Source organism: Homo sapiens, chromosome 1 (assembly GCF_000001405.40).
Source record: "Homo sapiens chromosome 1, GRCh38.p14 Primary Assembly".
Classification (NCBI taxonomy): Eukaryota; Metazoa; Chordata; class Mammalia; order Primates; family Hominidae; genus Homo; species Homo sapiens.
Window position 1 is genome coordinate 243,572,470 of NC_000001.11, and position 20,716 is coordinate 243,593,185.

General features: G+C 36.4%; 1 protein-coding gene across 11 annotated transcripts in view; it reads right to left on the bottom strand.

The window, feature by feature from the left end:
- AKT3 (AKT serine/threonine kinase 3) overlaps positions 1-20,716 on the bottom strand; it is a 362,847-nt gene that overhangs the window by 84,237 nt on the left and 257,894 nt on the right. For all 11 annotated transcript variants that reach the window (NM_181690.2, NM_001370074.1, XM_047420641.1 and 8 more), the window contains one exon: positions 457-579. In NM_181690.2, coding sequence (NP_859029.1) covers positions 457-579 — 123 coding nt within the window. The remainder of the gene's footprint in view (positions 1-456; positions 580-20,716) is intronic.

The window sequence follows — 20,716 nt, forward strand, 5'->3', positions numbered from 1 at the left end:
TTCATAAATAAAACACGAGGCACATTAATAAATGGTTATTATATTAAAATGCTTCAGGTATTTAAAACCACCCAAAGTTAATGCTAAAATCAAAATGAATATGTTCCTTCCAATAGTCTTACTATGTTTCTTCATAAAACATTTCTGTAAACATAATAAAACTTGTTTTAAGTGTAACTTGTGAATTTATTTGACTTAATCACGTTTAACATTTTTATTTGATCCAAGCAGTCGGGCAGAAATTGCTTTGCAAATCAAAAACTCACACATAAATCAACTACATACATGTTAGTGAATAAAATTTCCTTCAAATGTAGTGAACTAAATTTTTAAACATAGTGCTTTTTTCCCAACTAAATCTGCTTTTCTCAAAACTGTATAACTTTGTAATTACTTTATGTTTGTCCCTATAGTCTCTGCAAAAACAAATTTTGATTACTTTTTTTTTTTTTTTACCTTGAGATCACGGTACACAATCTTTCCGGAATGTAGATAGTCCAAGGCAGAGACAATTTCTGCACCATAGAAACGTGTGCGGTCCTCAGAGAACACCCGCTCTCTCGACAAATGGAAAAACAGCTGCAGGGTAAACAGCAGGGACAGGATTGTAATAATTACTGATTTAGTGGGGGAAATTAACACAAACATAAAACACCTCTCATCACCATATTGTGATGATAGATAGTGTACTCTCAGTGGACACTGAGCACTCTTAGACAGCAGCTGGCTTATCTTTTCCAGGTTTCCAAGGGGAAACTGCGAGCTGTTAAATCAGCGTTTTAATCAATATACCAATCTTGTTTAAGGCATTCTGCTTGCTACCCATTTAACCTTCAGTTACCAGAGGAAAAAGGTATGCATCATCAGATTGCAGTTTCCCCCTCACTATACTGTTGCTTCACTCTTCAAGGATTAGGTATTGAGATATTACTAAAATAAATGAACACAAGCACAGATATATTTTCACTTAATTATTTGATTTCAAAGACAAGACTGTCAATTTGCTGAAACTGATTTACGCGAACTTGTTATATTCTACAATTTTTGATTAATCATGATATCTCTAAAAATATTTTCAAAGTCAAATTATTATTGAAAATAGAAAATAATTTGACATTTTCTATGGTGAGAAACTTTAAGGTTTTATGTTTTTAATTTATTTTAGTAATGCCCAAAATGAACTGAGAAACATCCATTATTCCTATTGCAGTTCTCAATGTATATTCTATTTTCAATAATAATTAGCTACAATGCCAGTCCTTTCTCATATTATCACTAAAACTATAAGCCCATCCATTTCCTAGTCAACCTCTTAAAACATATACCATTCGATAGTCAACAAACATTCACTGGGTGCTTACTGTGACCAAGTACACGGCTCTCCAATAGGCCACTTCTTCATTAAAGAAACTACAAATATTATCTCAATTGGACAACATACATGAAGAAAGAGCAGGTTTCAGGCACTGTGAATTGACTATTAATCTTTGTTGTTGAAACATGCTCAGAACAATGAAAGATTGTTTACAGTGCTGAGTATATTGCCAGGTATCATGGTTATTAATAGATACACAATACATGTCTGTGAAAAAAATGAACCAATCAGCCAATGTACCCTTGACTGCAAGATCAGAAATTTTTCCCTTACATGGATCATTGACTCATAATGTTTCTACAAAATTGGTGAAAATTATGGTTAACTAAGATTTGTTCTGCATACACCAAAGTCATTATTTCAAGTAACATAAAACAGGTTCCCTATAAATTCATTCTTCCCCATTCCCACCCCCACCTTCACTTAACAGCATATTATAAGATAAGCTTTATGCATGACCCATTGGCATAGTAAACAGAGAGAGAGAGAAAATATCACCTATAGCCCCAAAAAGTGTAGCACAACAATAATTATATTAAAACTAAAATATTTTGCAGTCTCTAAACTTTAATGCTTCCTACTATATTACTGTATTTTATCAAATCTCATATGCTACGAATTGGGACTGCATCATCATTTTATAAAACACCAAGGTAAAAAAGGTTGTCAGTTAAAACTATAACACATGATCTATTCTAAAAGGCATTCTGATTACAGAAATGTTAAGTATGTCTTCCAAATAATCAAATACAGTATGTGAAAAATCAAGTCATTTATACAATTACTCAGGGATATTTTAAAAAATTCATTCATTTCATATAGTTAGATATATATTATCAATGTATTACCAGCCTAACAAGGATAGAAAGTAGAAGGAGCCATGTTTTCCAGGTTAAAATAATTTCTGCCATGCAAAATATCACTAACTTTGATGAAAAGATCGTGTGATCTCTATGTGGAGTTGCAGTAGTCTTCTAATGAGATGAAAATAGTGATTAGGTTTCTAAATTTTCTTAAAAGAATGTCAAGCCTACTTACCCACTCATTTAACTTTACAAAAAATATGGATCCTCCCTAAATCGATATAATATATGCAAGATTCTAGATCTTTATTTAGACTATGTATCTTCAATGTGTCTGCCAGCCAATTTCTATAAATATATCAGCTAAAAATTATATTTAAGGGTAAGAATTTACTTCTCAGTCTGCTATCTGATGTGTACCCTTACTACTTTATGGAACTTGTTAAGATAACCAACAACCTCTTAATCGCCAAATCCAATAATCTATTTACAGTCTGCACTGCTTCTTCCAAATCTGAAGCTTAGGACATCACCTACTGCCCTCTTTCTTGAAACACATTTCTGGGCTTTGGTAATATGACTCTCTCCTGATTTGCCTCCTAACTCTCTGGCTAATCCTTCTCAGTTTCTACTTTGGCTCTGAACCAACTTTTCAATTCAGCATTCATTTAGTGAGTATCAATTATTTTAAAGTCACTGCTGGGCACTGGAGAAGAGAAAGAGGGAATACAGTGATAAGACAGAATCTCTTATGATTCCAAGCATTGAGTGCGGTAACATTCTCATGAGTATACACTTAACTCCAAACCCATCAAGTTGTTCCGATTAAATATATACAGCATTTTGTATATCAATCATAACTCAATAAAGTGGTTTAAACAAAAGACAATTCCTGCCATTAAGCAATATGAATGAAGAGGACACAGGTATTGATTTTTAAAAAAAGAGGGTTGTGATAACATTTTATAACTCAGATATTAAAAGTACTTTGAAGGCAAAGAGGGATTAATCTGTGCTGGCATCATGTAAGGAGACTTGATAGATAAGAAAAAGCTTTACCTAAGTTTTGAAGAATAGGTTTTTCATAATGGAAAATTTAAGGGAAAAATCTCCAAAAAAGTGCTACTCAAGTTTTATCCATTTGTATTTCCAACACAGCCTAGGACAGTACCTGCACATAGTAGGTGATTAATAAAAATTTAGAAAGCATTAATACTAAAGAGGAAAAATAGCAATGGCAAGAAAACACATGTAGGGAACACATGTAGCCAAAAAATAATATATAATCAGAGAAATAATAGGACTTCTGGAAAAAAAAGATGAGATCAGATTGGTTAGGATCTTTACTAACATGACAAGAGCATGAATTTTTTTTCTGTAGATAATAAGTATGAAAGAATTTTAGCTTAAAAATTAGCATAATTTGGATCCACATATGCAAATCAATGAATGTAATTCATAATATAAACAGAACTAAACACAAAAACCACGTGATTATCTCAATAGACACAGAAAAGGCCTTCAAAAAAATTCAACATCGCTTCATGTTAAAAATTCTCAGTAAACTAGATATTGAAGGAACATACATCAAAATAATAAGAGCTATTTATGACAAACCCACAGCAAATATCACACTGAATGGGCAAAATCCAGAAGCATTCTCCTTGAAAACCAGCACAAGACAAGGATGCCCTCTCTCACCACTCCTACTCAACATAGTATTGGAAATGCTGGCCAGGGCAATCAGGCAAGAGAAAAAAATAAAGAGCATTCAAATAGGAAGAGAGGAAGTAAAATTGTCTTTGTTTGCAGATGACATGATCCTGTATCTAGAAAATCCCATCCTCTCAGTCCAAAAGCTTAAGTTGATAAGCAAATTCAGCAAAGGCTCAGGATAGAAAATCAATGTGCAAAAGTCATAAGCATTCCTATACAACAACAACAGAGAACCAAATCATTTATGAACTCTCATTCACAACTGCCACAAAGAGAATAAAATACCTAGAAATACAGCTAACAAGGGAAGTGAAGGACCTCTTCAAGGAAAACTACAAACTACGGCTCAAGGAAATAAGAGAGAACACAGACAAATGGGAAAACATTCCAGGCTAATGAATATGAAGAATCAATATTGGGAAAATGGCCATACTGGCCAAAGTAATTTATAGATTCAATGCTATTCACAATAAACTACCATGGAAATTCTTCACAGAATTAGAAAAAAACTATTTTAAAATTCACATGGGACCAAAAAAGAACCCACAGAGCCAAGACAATCCTAAGCAAAAAGAACAAAGCTGGAGCCATCACACTACCTGACTTCAAACTATATTACAAGGCTATAGTAACCAAAACAGCATGGTACTGGTAACAAAAACAGACACATAAACCAATGGAACAGAATAGAGAACTCAGAAATAAGACCAAATATCTACAACTATTTGATTTTTAACAAACCTGACAAAAACAAGCAATAGGGAAGGACATCCTATTGATTGATTGCTTGATTGAATGATTGAGACAGAGTCTCACTCTGTCACCCAGGCTGGAGTGCAGTGGCATGATCTTGGCTCACAGAAACCTCTACCTCACAAGTTCAAGCAATTCTCCTGCCTCAGCCTCCTGAGTAGCTGAGATTACAGGCATGTGCTACCACACTGGGCTAATTTTTATATTTTTAGTAGAGATGGGGTTTCACCATGTTGGCCAGGCTGGTCTCAAACTCCTGACCTCAAGTGATCTGCCCACTTCAGCCTCTCAAAGCGCTGGGATTACAGGCATGAGCCACTGCATCTGGCCAGCACTCCCTATTTAATAAATGGTGTTGGGAGAACTAGCTAGCCATATAAAGAAAACTGAAACTGGACCCCTTCCTTATACCTTATACAAAAATTAACTCAAGATTGATTAAAGACAAATGTAAAACCCCAAACTATAAAAAACCTAGAATAAAATCTAGGCAATACCATTCAGGACATAGGTACGGGCAATGTTTCATGATGACAACATCAAAAGCAATTACAACAAAAGCAATAATTGACAAGTGGGATCTAATTAAAGAGCTTCTGCACAGCAAAAGAAACTACCATCAGAGTGAACAGACAACCTACAGAATGGGAGAAAATTTTTGCAACCTAGCCATCTGACAAAGGTCTAATATCCAGAGTCTACAAGGAACTTAAACAAATTTACAAGAAAAAAAAATCCCCATTCAAAAGTGGGCAAAGGACATGAGCAGACACTTCTCAAAAGAAGACATTTATGTGACCAACAAACACATGAAAAAAAGCTCAACACCACTGATCATTAGAGGATGCAAATCAAAACCACAATGAAATAGCATCTCACACTAGTCAGAATAGTGATTATTAAAAAATCATGAAACAATAGATGCTAGTGGGGCTACAGAGAGATGGGAACACTTTTACAATGCTGGTGGGAATGTAAATGAGTTCAGCCACTGTGGAAGACAAGTGTGGCAATTGCTGTAAGACACAGAACCAGAAATACCCTTTGACCCAGCAATTTCATTACTGGGTATATACCCAAAGGAATACAAATCATTCTACTACAAAGATACGTGCATGCATATGTTCACTGCAGCACTATCACAATAGCAAAGTCATGGAATCAACCCAAGTGCCCATCAATGATAGATGGATAAAGAAAATGTGGTACATATAACCCAAGAAATACTATGCGGCCATAAAAAGGAATGAGCTCATGTCCTCTGCAGGGACATGAATGGAGCTGGAAGCCATTATCCTAAGCAAACTAACGCAGGAACAGAAAACCAAACACCGCTTGTTCTCACTCATAAGTGGGAGCTGAACAATGAGAATACATGGGCACAGGGAGAACACCACCACACATTAGGGCTTGTGGGGCAGAGCCAAGGGAGGGAGATCATCAGGAAAAATGGCTAATGCATGCTGAGCTTAATACTTAAGTGATGGGTTGATAGGTGCAGCAAACCACCATGGCACACATTTACCTATGTAACAAACCTGCACATCCTGCACATGTACCCTGGAACTTAAAAATAAAATAAAATAATTAGCATAATGTTAAAAAGGCAATTCGGGTAGCAATGAGAGAATCAACTAAAAATGCCTGAGACTACAGACTGCTAAACAATTTTTAAAGTACAACAAAAAAGTTACTGATCACCACTGTTATGAAAAGCTGCAGACACAATGAGAGAAAACCGTACCAATCTGCAAGGACATCACTATCTGGTTACAAGAGCCAGATACATAAACTTTTCTACTAAAGTTACGGTAATTATTATAAAGCAGAAAAGACATTCAAAGAATAAGCATGTTTGGAAATATCAGAAGTTATATTTGAGCTTGCAGAGAGCTTCTGAGGGACATCAGCTAAGGTAGTAGTAACAGACATATAAAGAGAATCAATATTCCAGAGGGAACTAGCTTTTACCACTTGGGTCAAGGGAGAAATCAACGATGTTGAGGTTTCTCTATGGCTGACTGAGTAGATGCTGATATAAAGGAAAAGAATGGGAATGGGGACAGAGGAGCAATGGGTTTTATTTTGACATGCTGATATCTAAATAGGCATTTGATAACACAGCTTTGCAAGTTCATGAAGGTAGATATGGGAATCATTCATAGAAAGGATATTGTTAAGACTGAGAAAGCAAAGAATAGTCTAGGAATTCAGTAAAAACTGAAAAGATAAGTGAAGGCAGAATCTTAGGGTACTACTATACATAGGACAGAAAAAAGCAGAACAGGACATTCAGATGGAATACTAAGAGATATAAAAAAAGGAAGCAAGACTACAAGAAGTGAAGGGAAAATAAAGTTTCAGAAAGACAGGAACATTTGCTGTACTTAGGAATTAGGTCATCTGTTACTTTTCAAAGGTAAGTTGTCATATTTAGGTGGGCTGAAAAGAGAATGTGAAGGTAGAAATAATACACCATTCCTTTAAAAAAATGGATGAGGTGAGCCAAGGTATTATTGAACCAGAAGGTTTCTGTGCAACATATTAAATAGTGCCTTCAAGAAAAAGGTTTGTCTAAAGAAATTGACTTATATAACTACAATTCATATGGAATAGGTACACAAATGAAACACCAAAGAAATAATGAAGCAAGGAACAGGTTATTTTAGGTTATAAAAATTTAATACAGAATACTTGAACATGACAATATATGATAAAGTATACAGGAAAATGACAAATAGTGCAACAATAATTAACTCTGAAGAAACATAAAATTTAATTTTCACCTCATAACAAAATAAAATTTATATGTATTAGTCCAATATAAAATTAAAAAACTAGAAAATATGTGTAAGTGGTTATCTAGTCTCAAGATGAAGAAGAATTTTCTAAGCATAAAAGAAATGGAAGAAATAGACTTTTTGCTTTTCCCCAAGAGGGTGGGTTAGAGGCTTTCTGCACGCCTCAGCCACTTGGACATAGCAAGATAGCAGATAAAGATAAACTCTGTGAGCTTTAATTCAAGAAGGAAAACAGGAATCTACTGGAATCATGACGTACACTCCAGATCCCAGAGAGGAGAAGGCCAGCAAACAGCCCCACTGACGGCATCCAGCTGATAAAAGTTAAGTGAAGCCCCAGTGCATGAGAGAGGCAAGGAGCCTCCCTCTGTGACTCACCCTTCCACTGGGGATCCAAGCAACCTAGGCCAAGGGAGAGCACTTTGTTTCTCCCAGTCCTGGAGCTAACTTGGGGAGTGGCCTGGAGTCACTGTGACGGAAAAAGCTGAAGGCATTTTTCCAGACCCGGGAAAAAGAGCAGGACAATGTTTTAAATTTGGGCACATAAAAACTCAGCCATTCCTTGGTGACCCAGCAGTGTGGCTGCACAGGCATGTCAGTCTTGGACCAGAGATCAAAACACCTGCTCTGGAATGGGATAGGGGCTTCACAGTCAAAACTGTGGAAAGTACCCCAACAACAGGGCTAGAATTGTGCTTTCCCCACTTTCAAGCCTGGGGCAGCAGGAGAGCCGCTACAGCTGCAGTTTCTCCTGGGCTGCAAAACTTGCAGTCACGTTCAGCTTGGCAACCTGGAACAGATTCGCATGTGCCATTGCCGGGTAACCCACTCTGTTCTCCTGAGATTGTGGTGCAGTAGGGCCCTTGCTGCTCCATCTCCAAGCACATCTCTGGCATCCAGAGTAACCATTTGCCTAGTTGAGTAGCCTGAGCCACCGCACTCCTCCTGGACATAACGTTATGGTGAAGCAGAGCTCTCTCTGCTCCATACCCAGGAAGATCCCTAGGCATTCAGAGCACCTCCTTGCCTGCTTCTGGAGTTTGAGTCACCCCACCCCTCCTATGCAGAGATCTTAGTGCAGGGGGTCTCTGCTCCATGCTCTAGGCATCTTGAGCACCTACTCTCCTGGACTAGAAGTTTAGACCATCCCCTATCCCTGTGCAGAGAACTTGGGGCTGAGGAGGTTTCCCAGCTACACTACTAGGCACATCTCTGGGCCCTTGGTGGCCACCCACTGCATTCTCCCTCGGCACTAGTGCCTGTGTCTGTCATCAGGGGACCTGTAGGTGGACCTGTCAGGTCTGGCCCTGCCATTCCTGCCCTCTGCCAACCCCCTGACCCTGGGGCTGGGCAGTGAGCTCAGACCATGGTACATTCCATGAATTGGCCATAGCCTGTGGCAACAAAGAGCTTCTGCCAGTAAACAAGTATCAAGGTATACACTAAGCCATGTTGGCTGCAGTTAGCTCTTACCTCTAAGTGCCATCTACAGGCTTGCAGGTCAAATGCCACAGCCCAAAATAAAATTGGCCAAAAGCAGCACAGAGGACTAAAGAAACAAAGTCAAAGACCCTACCCAGAATTCTCTATAGTCACATTCTGAAGGGAGGGGAAGAAAAGGGAAAGGAGAAAAAAATATATAATAACATTATAGGGAAAGAAAAAGAAAGAAAAAATCCTACCTGCATGAAAATAATTACAGAAGTTACAAGTGTTAGGGTCTCCAGATAAGAAAAAAGCAGCGTAAGAATTCCAGCACTATGAAAAATCTGAATGTAGTGATACCACCAAAGGATCACACTAGCTCTACAGAAATGGTCCCTAACCAAAATGGAAACTCAGAAATGACAGATAAAGAATTCAAAGTAGGGATTGCAGTAAGCCCAATGAGATCCAAGACAAAGTTGAAAATCAACAAAAAAAAACTTCTAAAGTAATCCAGGAAATGAAGGAAGAAATAAGCATCTTTAAGAGAAATCAATCAGACTTTCTGGAATTGAAAAAATTCACATAAGGAATTTCAAAATACAACTGAAAGCTTTAACAATAGACCGGCCCAAGCAGAAGAAAGACTTGCAGAGCCTGAAGACCAGTATTTTAAACTAATCCAGTCAGACAAAAATAAAGAAAAAATAATTTTAAAAAATGAATAAAGTCTTCAAGAAATATGGAATTACAGAAAGTGATAAAACCTACAAATTACTGGTATTCCTGAGAGAGAAGAAGAAAAAGTTAACAATGTGGAAAATATATTTGAGGAAATAACTCAAGAAAACTTTGGTAATCTTGTTAGGGAGACAGATATCCAGATACAAGAAATCCAGAGTACAACTGTGAGATACTATGCAAAATAAACATCACTAAGGATATTATCACCAGACTGTCCAAGGTCAACACTAAAGAAAAAAAAATCTTAAAGGCAGCTAGAGAAAAAGGGCAGATCAGAGGGAATGTCATCAGGCCAACCGTCAACTTCTCAGCAGAAACCTTACCAGCCAGGAGAGACTGGGGACCTATTTTTAGCTTTCTCAAAAAAAAAAAAAAAAAAAAAAAAGAAATTCCAACCAAGAATTTCATAACCTGCCAAACCAAGCTTCATAAGTGAATAAGAAGTAAAATCTTTTCCAGACAAACAAGCACAAAGGAATTTGTTACAACTAGACCAGCCTTATGAGAGATCCTTAAGGGAATTCTAAATATGGAAATGAAAGAAAAATAAATGCTACCACAAAAATGCATGTAAGTACATAGCCCACAGACCCTATAAAGCAAAAACACACACTAGAAAGTGTAAGGCAACCAGCTAATAACTTCATGATAGGATCAAAACATCACATAACAGTATTAGCTTTGAATGTAAATGGTCTAAACACCTCACTTAAAAGGCACAGAGTGGCATGTTGGATAAAAAAACAAGACTCATCCATCTGGCTTGTCTTCAAGAGACCCATCTTATATATAATGACACCTATAGGCTCAAAGTAAAGGTTTGGAGAAAGAGCTACCACACTAATGGAAAACAAAAAAGAGCAGGAATCACTATTCTTTCATCTGATAAAACAGACTTCAAACTAACAGCAGTTAAAAAAAAAAAAGACAAAGAAGAGTATTACATAATGATAAAGGGCTCAATTCAACAAGAAGACTTAACTATCACATATATATCTTCCATATATATATATATCTCTCTCTCTCTTCCAGTATGTATATATATTCCATATATATATCTCTCTCTTCCATGTATATGTGTGTGTATATATATATATATATATATATATACACACACACACACACACATATATCTTCCATATATATATCTCACATATATGTATGCACCCAATATTGGAGAACCCAGAGTCATAAAACAAGTACTACTAGATCTACAAAAAGACATAGACAGCAACACAATAATAGTGGGGGACTTCAACACCCTACTAGCATGAGTGAGATCATTCAGGCAGAAAAGTCACACATTCTGGACTTAAACTCAACACTTGACCAACTGAACCTGAAAAACATCTACAGAATACTCTACCCATCAGCCACAGAACATACATTCTTCTCAGGTGCACATGGAACAATACTCCAAGACTGACCACATGCTCGTCCTTAAAGTAAGTCTCAAAAAAAAAAAAAAAAGAAAAAAAAAAGAAAAAGAAAAAGAAAAACAAACAAAAAAACCCTGAAATCATACTAACCATAATCTTGGACCACAGTGGAATAAAAACAGAAATCAATACCAAGAAGGTATCTCAAAACCATACAGTTACATGAAAATTAAACAACTTGCTCCTGAATGTCTTCTGGGTAAACAACAAAATCAAGGCAGAAATAAAAATAGTATTTGAAATAAATGAAAATAGGTACACAACACACCAAAATTCCAGGGACGCAGCAAAAGCAGTGTTAAGAGGAAAGTTGAAAGCACTAAATGCCTACCTCAAAACATTAGAAAGATCTCAAATTAATACTCTAACATCACATCTAGAGGAACCAGGAAAACAAGAACAAACTAACCCATAAGCTAGCAGAAGAAAAAAAAATAACTAAAATCAGAGCAGAATGGAACGAAATTAAGACCTAAAAATCCACATAATGAAATGATGAAGCCAAAAGTTGGTTCTTTGAAAGGATAAAGAAGATTGCTAGACTGCTAGTGAGATTAACAAAGGAAAAGAGAGAAGATATAAATAACCACAATTAGAAATGACAAAGATTACATTACAACTTATCCCACAGGAATACGAAAGGTCCTCAGAGGCTATGTGTCTATACATACAAACAAGAAAATCTAGAGGAAATGGATAAATTCCTGGAAACACACAATTTACCAAGACTGAATGAGGAACAAATTGACACACTGTACAGACTAATATCGAGTTCCAAAACTGAGTCAGTAATAAAAAAAACCTACCAACCAAAAAAGTCCCAAACAAGACGGATTCACAGTTGAATTCTATGTAAGGTACAAGGAAGAGGTGGTATAAATTCTACTGAAACTATTCCAAAAAAATGATTTTACAAAGCCAGTAACATCCTGATACCAAAACCTGGCAAAGACACAATGAAGAAAGAAAATCACAGGACTATATCCCTGATGAACACAGGTGCAAAAATCCTCAACAAAATACTAGCAAACTGAATTGAAAAACACATCAAAAAGTTAATTCACCATGATCAAGTAGGCATCATTCCTGGGATGCAAGGGTGGTTCAACATATACAAATCAATAAATGTGATTCACCACATAAACCAAATTAGCTTTCAATGAAATCCAACATCACTTTATGATAAAAACCCTCAACAAACTAGGCATCAAAGGAACATACCTGAAAATAATAAGCACCATCTATGACAAACCCACAGCCAACATCATACTGAACAGGCAAAAACTGGAAGCATTCCCCTTGAGAACTGGAACAAGATATGGATGCCCCCTCTCACCACTCCTAGTCAATATATTAGTGGAGAGTGCTAGCCAGAGAAAATCAGGTAAAAGAAAGAAATAAAAAGGCATCCTAATAGGCAAAGAAAAAGTATAACTATCTCTCTTTACTGATAATGATTCGATACTCAGGAAACCCTAAGGGCTCCACCAAAAGGCTATTAGAACTGATAAATGATTTTTGCAAGGTTTCAGGAGAGAAAATCAATGTACAAAAATCAGTAGCATTTCTATATACTGATAACATCCAAGCTGAGAGCCAAATCATTTACAATAGCCACACACACAAAAAAATCCAGGAATACATCTAACCAAGAAGGTAAAAGATCATTACAAGGAGAACTACAAGACACCGTTAAAAGAAATCATACATGACACAAACAAATGAAAAAACGTTCCATGCTCAGGGACTGGAAGAATCAATATCAGTAAAATAGCCATATTTCCCTGCCCAAAGCAATCTACAGATTCAAGGCTATACCTACCAAACTACCAACATCATTTTTCACAGAACTGGAAAAAAAAAACTACAAAATTAACAAGAAACCAAAAAAGAGCCAGAATAGCCAAAGCAATCCTAATCAAAAAGAAGAAAGCTAGAGGTATCAAATTACCTGCCTTCGAACCATACTATAAAGCTACAGCAACCAAAACAGCATGGTACTGTAAAAAAACAGACACAAAGGCCAATGGAACATAATAGAGAGCCCAGAAATAAAGCCAGCCACCTACAATAATCTAATCTTTGGCAAGGCTGACAAAAATAAGCAATGGGGAAAGGACTCCTTATTCAATATATGGTGCTTCGACAGCTGGTGAGCCATACGCAGAGGAATGAAACTGGACCCCTATCTTTTACCATATACAAAAATTAACTCAATATTGGTTAAAGATTTAAACGTAAAACCTCAAACTATAAGAATCCTAGAAGAAAATCTAAGAAACACCATTCTTGACATTGGCACTGGAAAAAATTATATGACTAAGTCCTCGATAGCAATTGAACAAAACCAAAAATCGACAAGTGAGACCTAATTACACTAAAGAGAATCTGTACAGCAAAAGAAACTATCAACAGGGTAAACCTACAGAATGGGATAAAATATTCATAAACTATCTGACAAAGGTCTAATATCCAAAGTGTATAAGAAAGTTAAACAATTGAACAAGCTAAACACAAGTAACCCAATAAAAAATGAGCAAATGACATGAACAGACATTTCTCAAAAGAAGACATACAAGCAGCCACCAAATATGAAAAATGCTGCACATCACTAATCTTCAGGGAAATGTAAATCAAAACCACAATGAGATATCATCTCATACCAGTCAGAATGGCTGCCATTAAAATGTCAAACAATAATCGGTCTAATAGTACAATAACATGTTGACAAGGCTGCAGAGAAAAGGGGATGCTTGTAACACTGTTGGTGGGAATGTACATTAATTCAGCCACTATGGAAACCAATTCTGAGATTTTTCAAAGAACTTAAAATAAAGCTACCATTTGACCCAGCAATCACATTACTGAGTGTGTACCCAAAAGAAAACAAATTGTTCTATAAAGTAGACACAGGCACTTGCATGTTCATTGCAGAACTATTCACAACAGCAAAGACATGGATAGACCGGATTAAGAAAATGTGGTGTATATATATATATGCCATGGAATACTATGCAGTCGTAAAAAGAACAAAATCCGGTCCTTTGCAGCAACATGGATGCAGCTGGAGGCCATTATCCGGAGTGAATTAACACAGGAACAGAAAACCAAATACTGCTTGCTCTTGCTTATAAGTAGGAGCTAATCAATTGGTACTCATGGACATAAATATGGTAACTATAGAAACTGGAAACTACTAGAGGAGGGGAGGGGTTAAAAAGGGTGGAAAAATTAACTGTTGGGTACCATGCTCAGTACCTGATCATGGGATCATTTGTATGCCAAACCTCAGCATCATGGCCATATACCCAGGTAACAAACCTGCACAAGTACCTTCTTGAATTTAAAATAAAAGTTGAAAAAAATAAAAAAGAAATGGAATAATGAAGGGAAAATCCAGTAGATTTAGCCATATAAAGTAGCAAAGATAGAAATAAAATGGAGTATTTATAACATGTGACAAAGCTCATATTCTTAATATAAAAAAAAATTAAAAGACTAAAACACAAAAAATTGGGTAAAGGTACAATTAACCTGAGAGGGCTACAAATTATTAATGTATATGAACATAGGCCACCTTGTAATAATCAATGTAACAGAGACAAAACTTAAAAAAGGGCAATTTTAAATTTATGAAAAATTAGTATTGTCAGTGAAAGTGAGGTGAGATAAGCATCTTTATACACTGGTGGCTAGTATGTAAACAGACAGTCTTTGCAAAACAATCTGGCAATAGATAGCAAGATAATTTTTAAAGTTCGGTAGTTGCTCTCCTAGAAATTTCCTTAAAAAATAAAAATATACGCTGGGTACAGTGGCTCACGCCTGTAATCCTAGCACTTTGGGAGGCCGAGACTGGCAGATTGCCTGAGCTCAAGAATTCGAAACCAGCCCTGGCAACACAGCGAAACCCCGTCCCTACCAAAAGCACACAAAAATAGCTGGGCATGGTGGCGGGCGCTGTAATCCCAGCTACTCAGGAGGCTGAGGCACAAGAATTGGTTGAACCCGGGAGGTGGAGCTTGCAGTAAGCCGAGACTGCACCACTGCACTCCAGCCCAGGTGACAGGGCAAGACTCCGTCTCAAAAATACATACATAAATACATACATACATACATAAAAATATAGAAGCCATCTTCTACACAAGGATATTTTCAGAAGTATATACATTGAGAAAAATGTGAAAACGGCCTTCCAACCAGGTTGAAGAAAAATTAGATTTTTACCTCACAATATAATACGATAAATTTCAGATTTTTTAGTATTTTAAATTTCAAATTTTTTATATTTTTTAGTTAACTACTAGTTAAGAACCAGAATATATGAGTGAAAAGTCAACAGGACTGAACTTACCCAACTGCCCTAAACATTTGATGGGCATATCTAAAACAGAAGATGAAAACTGAGCAAATATATAAAAGAACTCTCATTAGATACTGGACAAGAGGAAGTGCATGACGATGGTACCTGTTACAACAGAAACAAATGAGGTGAGCCATATGATTATCCACCTTTTGTCTGGGGGCACTTTCTGACACATTATTGAGGAAGAAAAATCACAAACCTAATTCAAGGGTTTCACTGCTGAAAAGATAAACATCAGATTTTGAGGATGATGAGGTAGATGGCATTTGCAGGACAGAACACTAATGAGGAGGAAGCTATACAGAATCTGCACAGTTGAGTCTGCAGTTGAATACTAAGCAATGCATGTGTAGGGTTTAACTTTATGAGGACAAGCAGAGAAGGAAAGGAAAGCTGTAAATATGTAGTAGCTCTTAGAGCTCACGCAGAGCTGAGAGACATTCAATTTTTAGGCAGTCAGAGAAGAGTCATTACTGAACTCTCAGGCATTCAGTAGATATCTCAAGAGTCAGAGTGAAACCTGAACTTACACGAACAAAGCTAACATCAATACTGAAATATCAATCATATTTGTAAATACTGCCTTCCAGAATAAAAACTAACACTCTGACAGAAGAAAACAAAATCCAGTAACTCACGTAAAACTCAAATTATCTAATCAATGGAAGAGAATCAAAAGCCAAAAATAAATCCATGCCTATATGGTCAACAAACATTTGACAAGGGTACTGAAAATACATAAGGGAGAAAGAACAATCTCTTCAATAAATAGTGCTAGGAAAACTGGATATACACATGCAAAAGAATGTAATGGAGTCTTATCTTTCATCATATCAAAAAACCAACTCAAAATGGATTAAAAACTTAAACGTAAGACCTGAAACTATAAAACTCCTAGAAGAAAACATACCAAAAAAACCTCCTTGATATTGGTCTTGGCAAGTATTTCTTGGATATGACACCAAAAGCACAAGCAACAAAGGCAGAGATAAATAGGTGGGACTACTATTTATCTCTTTGCTTATGTGAAGCAAAGAAAACAATCAACAGAGTCAAAAACCTATGGAATGGGAGAAAATACTTGCAAATAATATATCTGATAAGAGGTCAATATCCCAAATATATACAAAACTCGGCTGGGCACAGTGGCTCACGCCTGCAATCCCAGCACTTTGAGAGGCTGAGGAGGATGGATCATGAGGTCAGGAATTTGAGACCAGCCTGACCAACATGGTGAAACCCCGTCTCTACTAAAAATACAAAAATCAGCCAGGCGTGGTGGCAGGCACCTGTAATCCCAGCTACTCGGAAAGCTGAGGCAGGAGAATCGCTTGAACCCGGGAGGCAGAGGTTGCAGTGAGCCGAGATTGTGCCACTGCACTCCAACCTAGGCAACACGAGCAAAACTCCATCTCAAAAAAAAAAAAAAAAAAGAAAAAAAAAGAAAAAAGAAAAAAAATCTGATCAAAAAATAGGGAAAGGACCTGAATATACTTTTCAAAGAAAATATACACGTGGCCAGCAGATACATGAAAAGGTGCTCAAGATAGATCACTAGTCAACAGAGAAATGCAAATCAAAACCACAATGAGATATTACCACACACCTGTTAGGATGGCTATTATAAAAAAGATGAGATAGCAAGTGCTGGTGAGGATGTGGAGAAAAGGGAACCCTTGTGCACTGTTGGTGGGAATGTAAATTGGTATAGCCATTATGGAAAACAGTATGGAGGCTCCATAAGAAACGAAAAATAGAACTATCACATAATCCTGCAATCTCACTTCTAGGTATATATATCTATCTGAAGGAAATGACATCAATATTTCAAATAGATATCTGTACTCCCACATACACTGTAGCATTATTCACTGTAATTAAGGCAGGACTGCAGGTATCTCTATTCCAAGAATGGAAACACTCTATATATATAGATTTCTTGGATATGAAGAAGCAACATCTATCAGCAGATAAATGGATAATGAAAATGTGGTATATTTATACAATGGAATATTATTCAGCCATAAAAAGAAGGAAGTCCTACCATTTGTGACAACATGGATGAACCTCAAGGGCATTATGTTAAGTAAAATAAGTCAGGGATGACAAATACTGTATGATCCACTTATATGGGGAATCTAAAAGAATCAAACTCACAGAAACAGAAAGTAGAATGATGGTTGCCAGGAGCTGGGGTAGGGAGGTAAGTAAAATGGGGAGATACTTGTCAAATGGTACAAACTTCCAGTTACGGGTAAGTTCTGGGGATTTAATGTACAGCATCATGACTATAGTTAATGATACTGTACTGTATATTTAAAATTTGCTAAGAGAGTAGGTCTTAGGTATTCTCATCACACACAGACAAAGGTAACTGATAGGTGACAGACGTATTCACTAATTCAATTGTGGCAATCCTTTCACAATACATACACGTATCAAATCACTACACTGTATACCTAAAATTTATACAATTTTATTTGTTCATTATACCTCAATAAAGCCAAGAAGAAATAAATTAAAAAAAGAAACCCCCAAGAACAAATGATTTAGCATCCAATCAACGTTTACTAAACATGACAAGATGCAAGAAAATATGACCTATAACCAAGAGAAAAATCAGTCATTAGAAACATACCTAAAAATCAGAGATGATGGAATTAATAGATACTGACTTCAAAATAGTACATGAACATAAAGAAGAGATAAAGGGAAATAGAAACAAATGAGACTGTAGAGATAAAACAAACAACATCTAAAATAAAAAATTCACTAGATGGAATTAACAGATTCGACACTGAAAGAGAAAGGACTTCTGAATGTGAAATCATAGCTAAAGAATCGATATAAATTACAACTGGGAAAAAAAAGCCTCAGTGACCTGTTGGACAGTATCAATGAATCTAACACATGTGTAATATAAATTACTGAAAGGAGAAAGACATTTGAAAAAGAATGGCTGAAATTTTCTAAAATTGGATAAATAACTAAATGCACAGATCTACAGTTGCCCAGGAGAAAAGGGAAATGAATAAGGTGATAGTTATGATTACTCCAGCTGGATACCTAGAAACAATGTCCAGGCTGTAACACAGGGAGAGGAAAACAAAACAAAACAAAAAGAGCCTACGAGGATCCTTGATTTAATGATACTGAGTTCAGAGACTGGGGAGACCAAGGTATCTAGAATTCATGAGACAGGTAACTAGACAGAAGACAGTACCAAAGACAGAGCTCGAGAGATCTACAATGGATTGCCTCGGAGTCTCATTGAGCAGCACCTGTATGTGGGGAAAAGCTACGGAAAGAGCCACTGAAAAGGACCAGATGAAACAATCACCAGGCTAACAGAAAGGCAAAAATATTTCATGTTCTCACATGGCAAAATAGAAAGATCTCCTAAAAACTATGGCATCTAACAGAGTTTTAAAAAAATACTGCCTCAATAGTGCAGCCGTGTTAGTGCTAGAGCAAAGGATATTCCAGACCAGTCTTACTAAGCTTAAAAGCAAGCACTGATAGGATCATACTGTTTATACATAAGAATAATGCCTAAATATATTTTTTAATCCCCAAACTTCCAGCATCTGACAATGTAAAATTCAATGTCTGGCATCCAATAAAAAATTAACGGACATAAAAAGAAACAGGAAAATAATAACCTATAATCAGGAGACTAATCAATGAATAGAAACAGACTGAGAAAATGACACATAAGATATAATTACACGAATACCATAATAAATTAGCCGTTGAAAATATAAAAAATAGCTGTTGAAAATATAAAAGTTCAAAAGGTAGAGGGAAGCACATAAGATGAAGATGAAAAAAAAAGTCCCAAATCAAACTTCAAGAGATGAAAATGTCTGAAATAAAAAATATACTAGATGTTACTAGACACTGGAGAAGAAAGTATTAGTAAACTTAAAGACACAGGGGGAAAAACCCAAAATTAAAGACAGAGAAAAGACTGAAAAAAAGAAGAGAACATTAGTAAACAGTGGGATAACATCAAGATGTCTAACATGTAAATAAGTAGATTCTCAGGATGGAACAAGAGAAATGAGTAACAAAATACTTACAGAACAATATTCAAAAATTTTCCAAATTGAATGAAAACTATATGCTTATAGATCCACAAGGCTTAAAACACCCTAAGCCTGGCCAGGCACGGTAGCTCACACGTGTAATCCCAGCACTTTGGGAGGCCAAGCTGGGCGGATCACGAGGTCAGGAGATCGAGACCATCCTGGCTAACATGGTGAAACCCCGTCGCTACTAAAAATACAAAAAATTAGCTGGGCTTGGTGGCAGGAGCCTGTAGTCCCAGCTACTCTGGAGGCTGAGGCAGGAGAATGGCGTGAACCCAGGAGGCGGAGCTTGCAGTGAGCCCAGATCACGTCACTGCACTCCAGCCTGGGCGACAGAGCGAGACTCCGTCTCAAAAAAAAAAAAGACAAAAAACAAACAAACAAACAAAAAACCCTAAGCCAAAGAACTGTGAAGGAAACCATACCAAGGCACATCATAATCAATAGCTGAAAGGAAGTAATAAACAGAAAAGCTTAACAGCGACCACAGAAAAAAAGACACATGAAGCACAGAGGAACAAAGCAGACTTCTTGACAGAAACTGTATAAGCCAGAAGAAAGTACAGTGACATTTTTATAGTAATGAAATGTAAAAATGGCAAATTAGAATTTCATACATAGCTAAATATCTTTCCAAAAATGAGAGGAAAATAAAGCCATTATCAGACATGTAGGTTAGAGAACTCACCACCAGAGACACTGAACTAGAAATTGTTCAAGAAAATGTTTCAGAATGAAGGAAAATGACACCACATGGAAAACAGGATCTACCCACAGGACAGAAAATATTGGAAATAGTAACTGTGTCAGGGAACAGAAATTAATTTTTCTTCTGTTTTAAATTTCCTTAAAAGATAATCACTGGTTTAAAACAAAAATAATAATGCATAGTGGCATTTATAACACATACAAATGTAAAATGTATTGTAACAACAGTACAAAGGCTTGAAGGAGGAAATAAAAGTATACCAGTGAAAGGATCTTAGGATGTATGTGAAATGGTATAATCTAAGCGGAACACAAAATGGGAAAAAAAGTTAAATACGAGTTTATAGTTAACCGTCATCCCACAATAAAAACTGGAGCTCCCAAAAGTTACTGATGAATTCCACCACCCCTTTAAAGAAGAAATAATTACAATTTTATAGAAACACTCCCAGAAAATACGAGAACAGTTGTTAACACGTTGCATGAGGCCAGCAT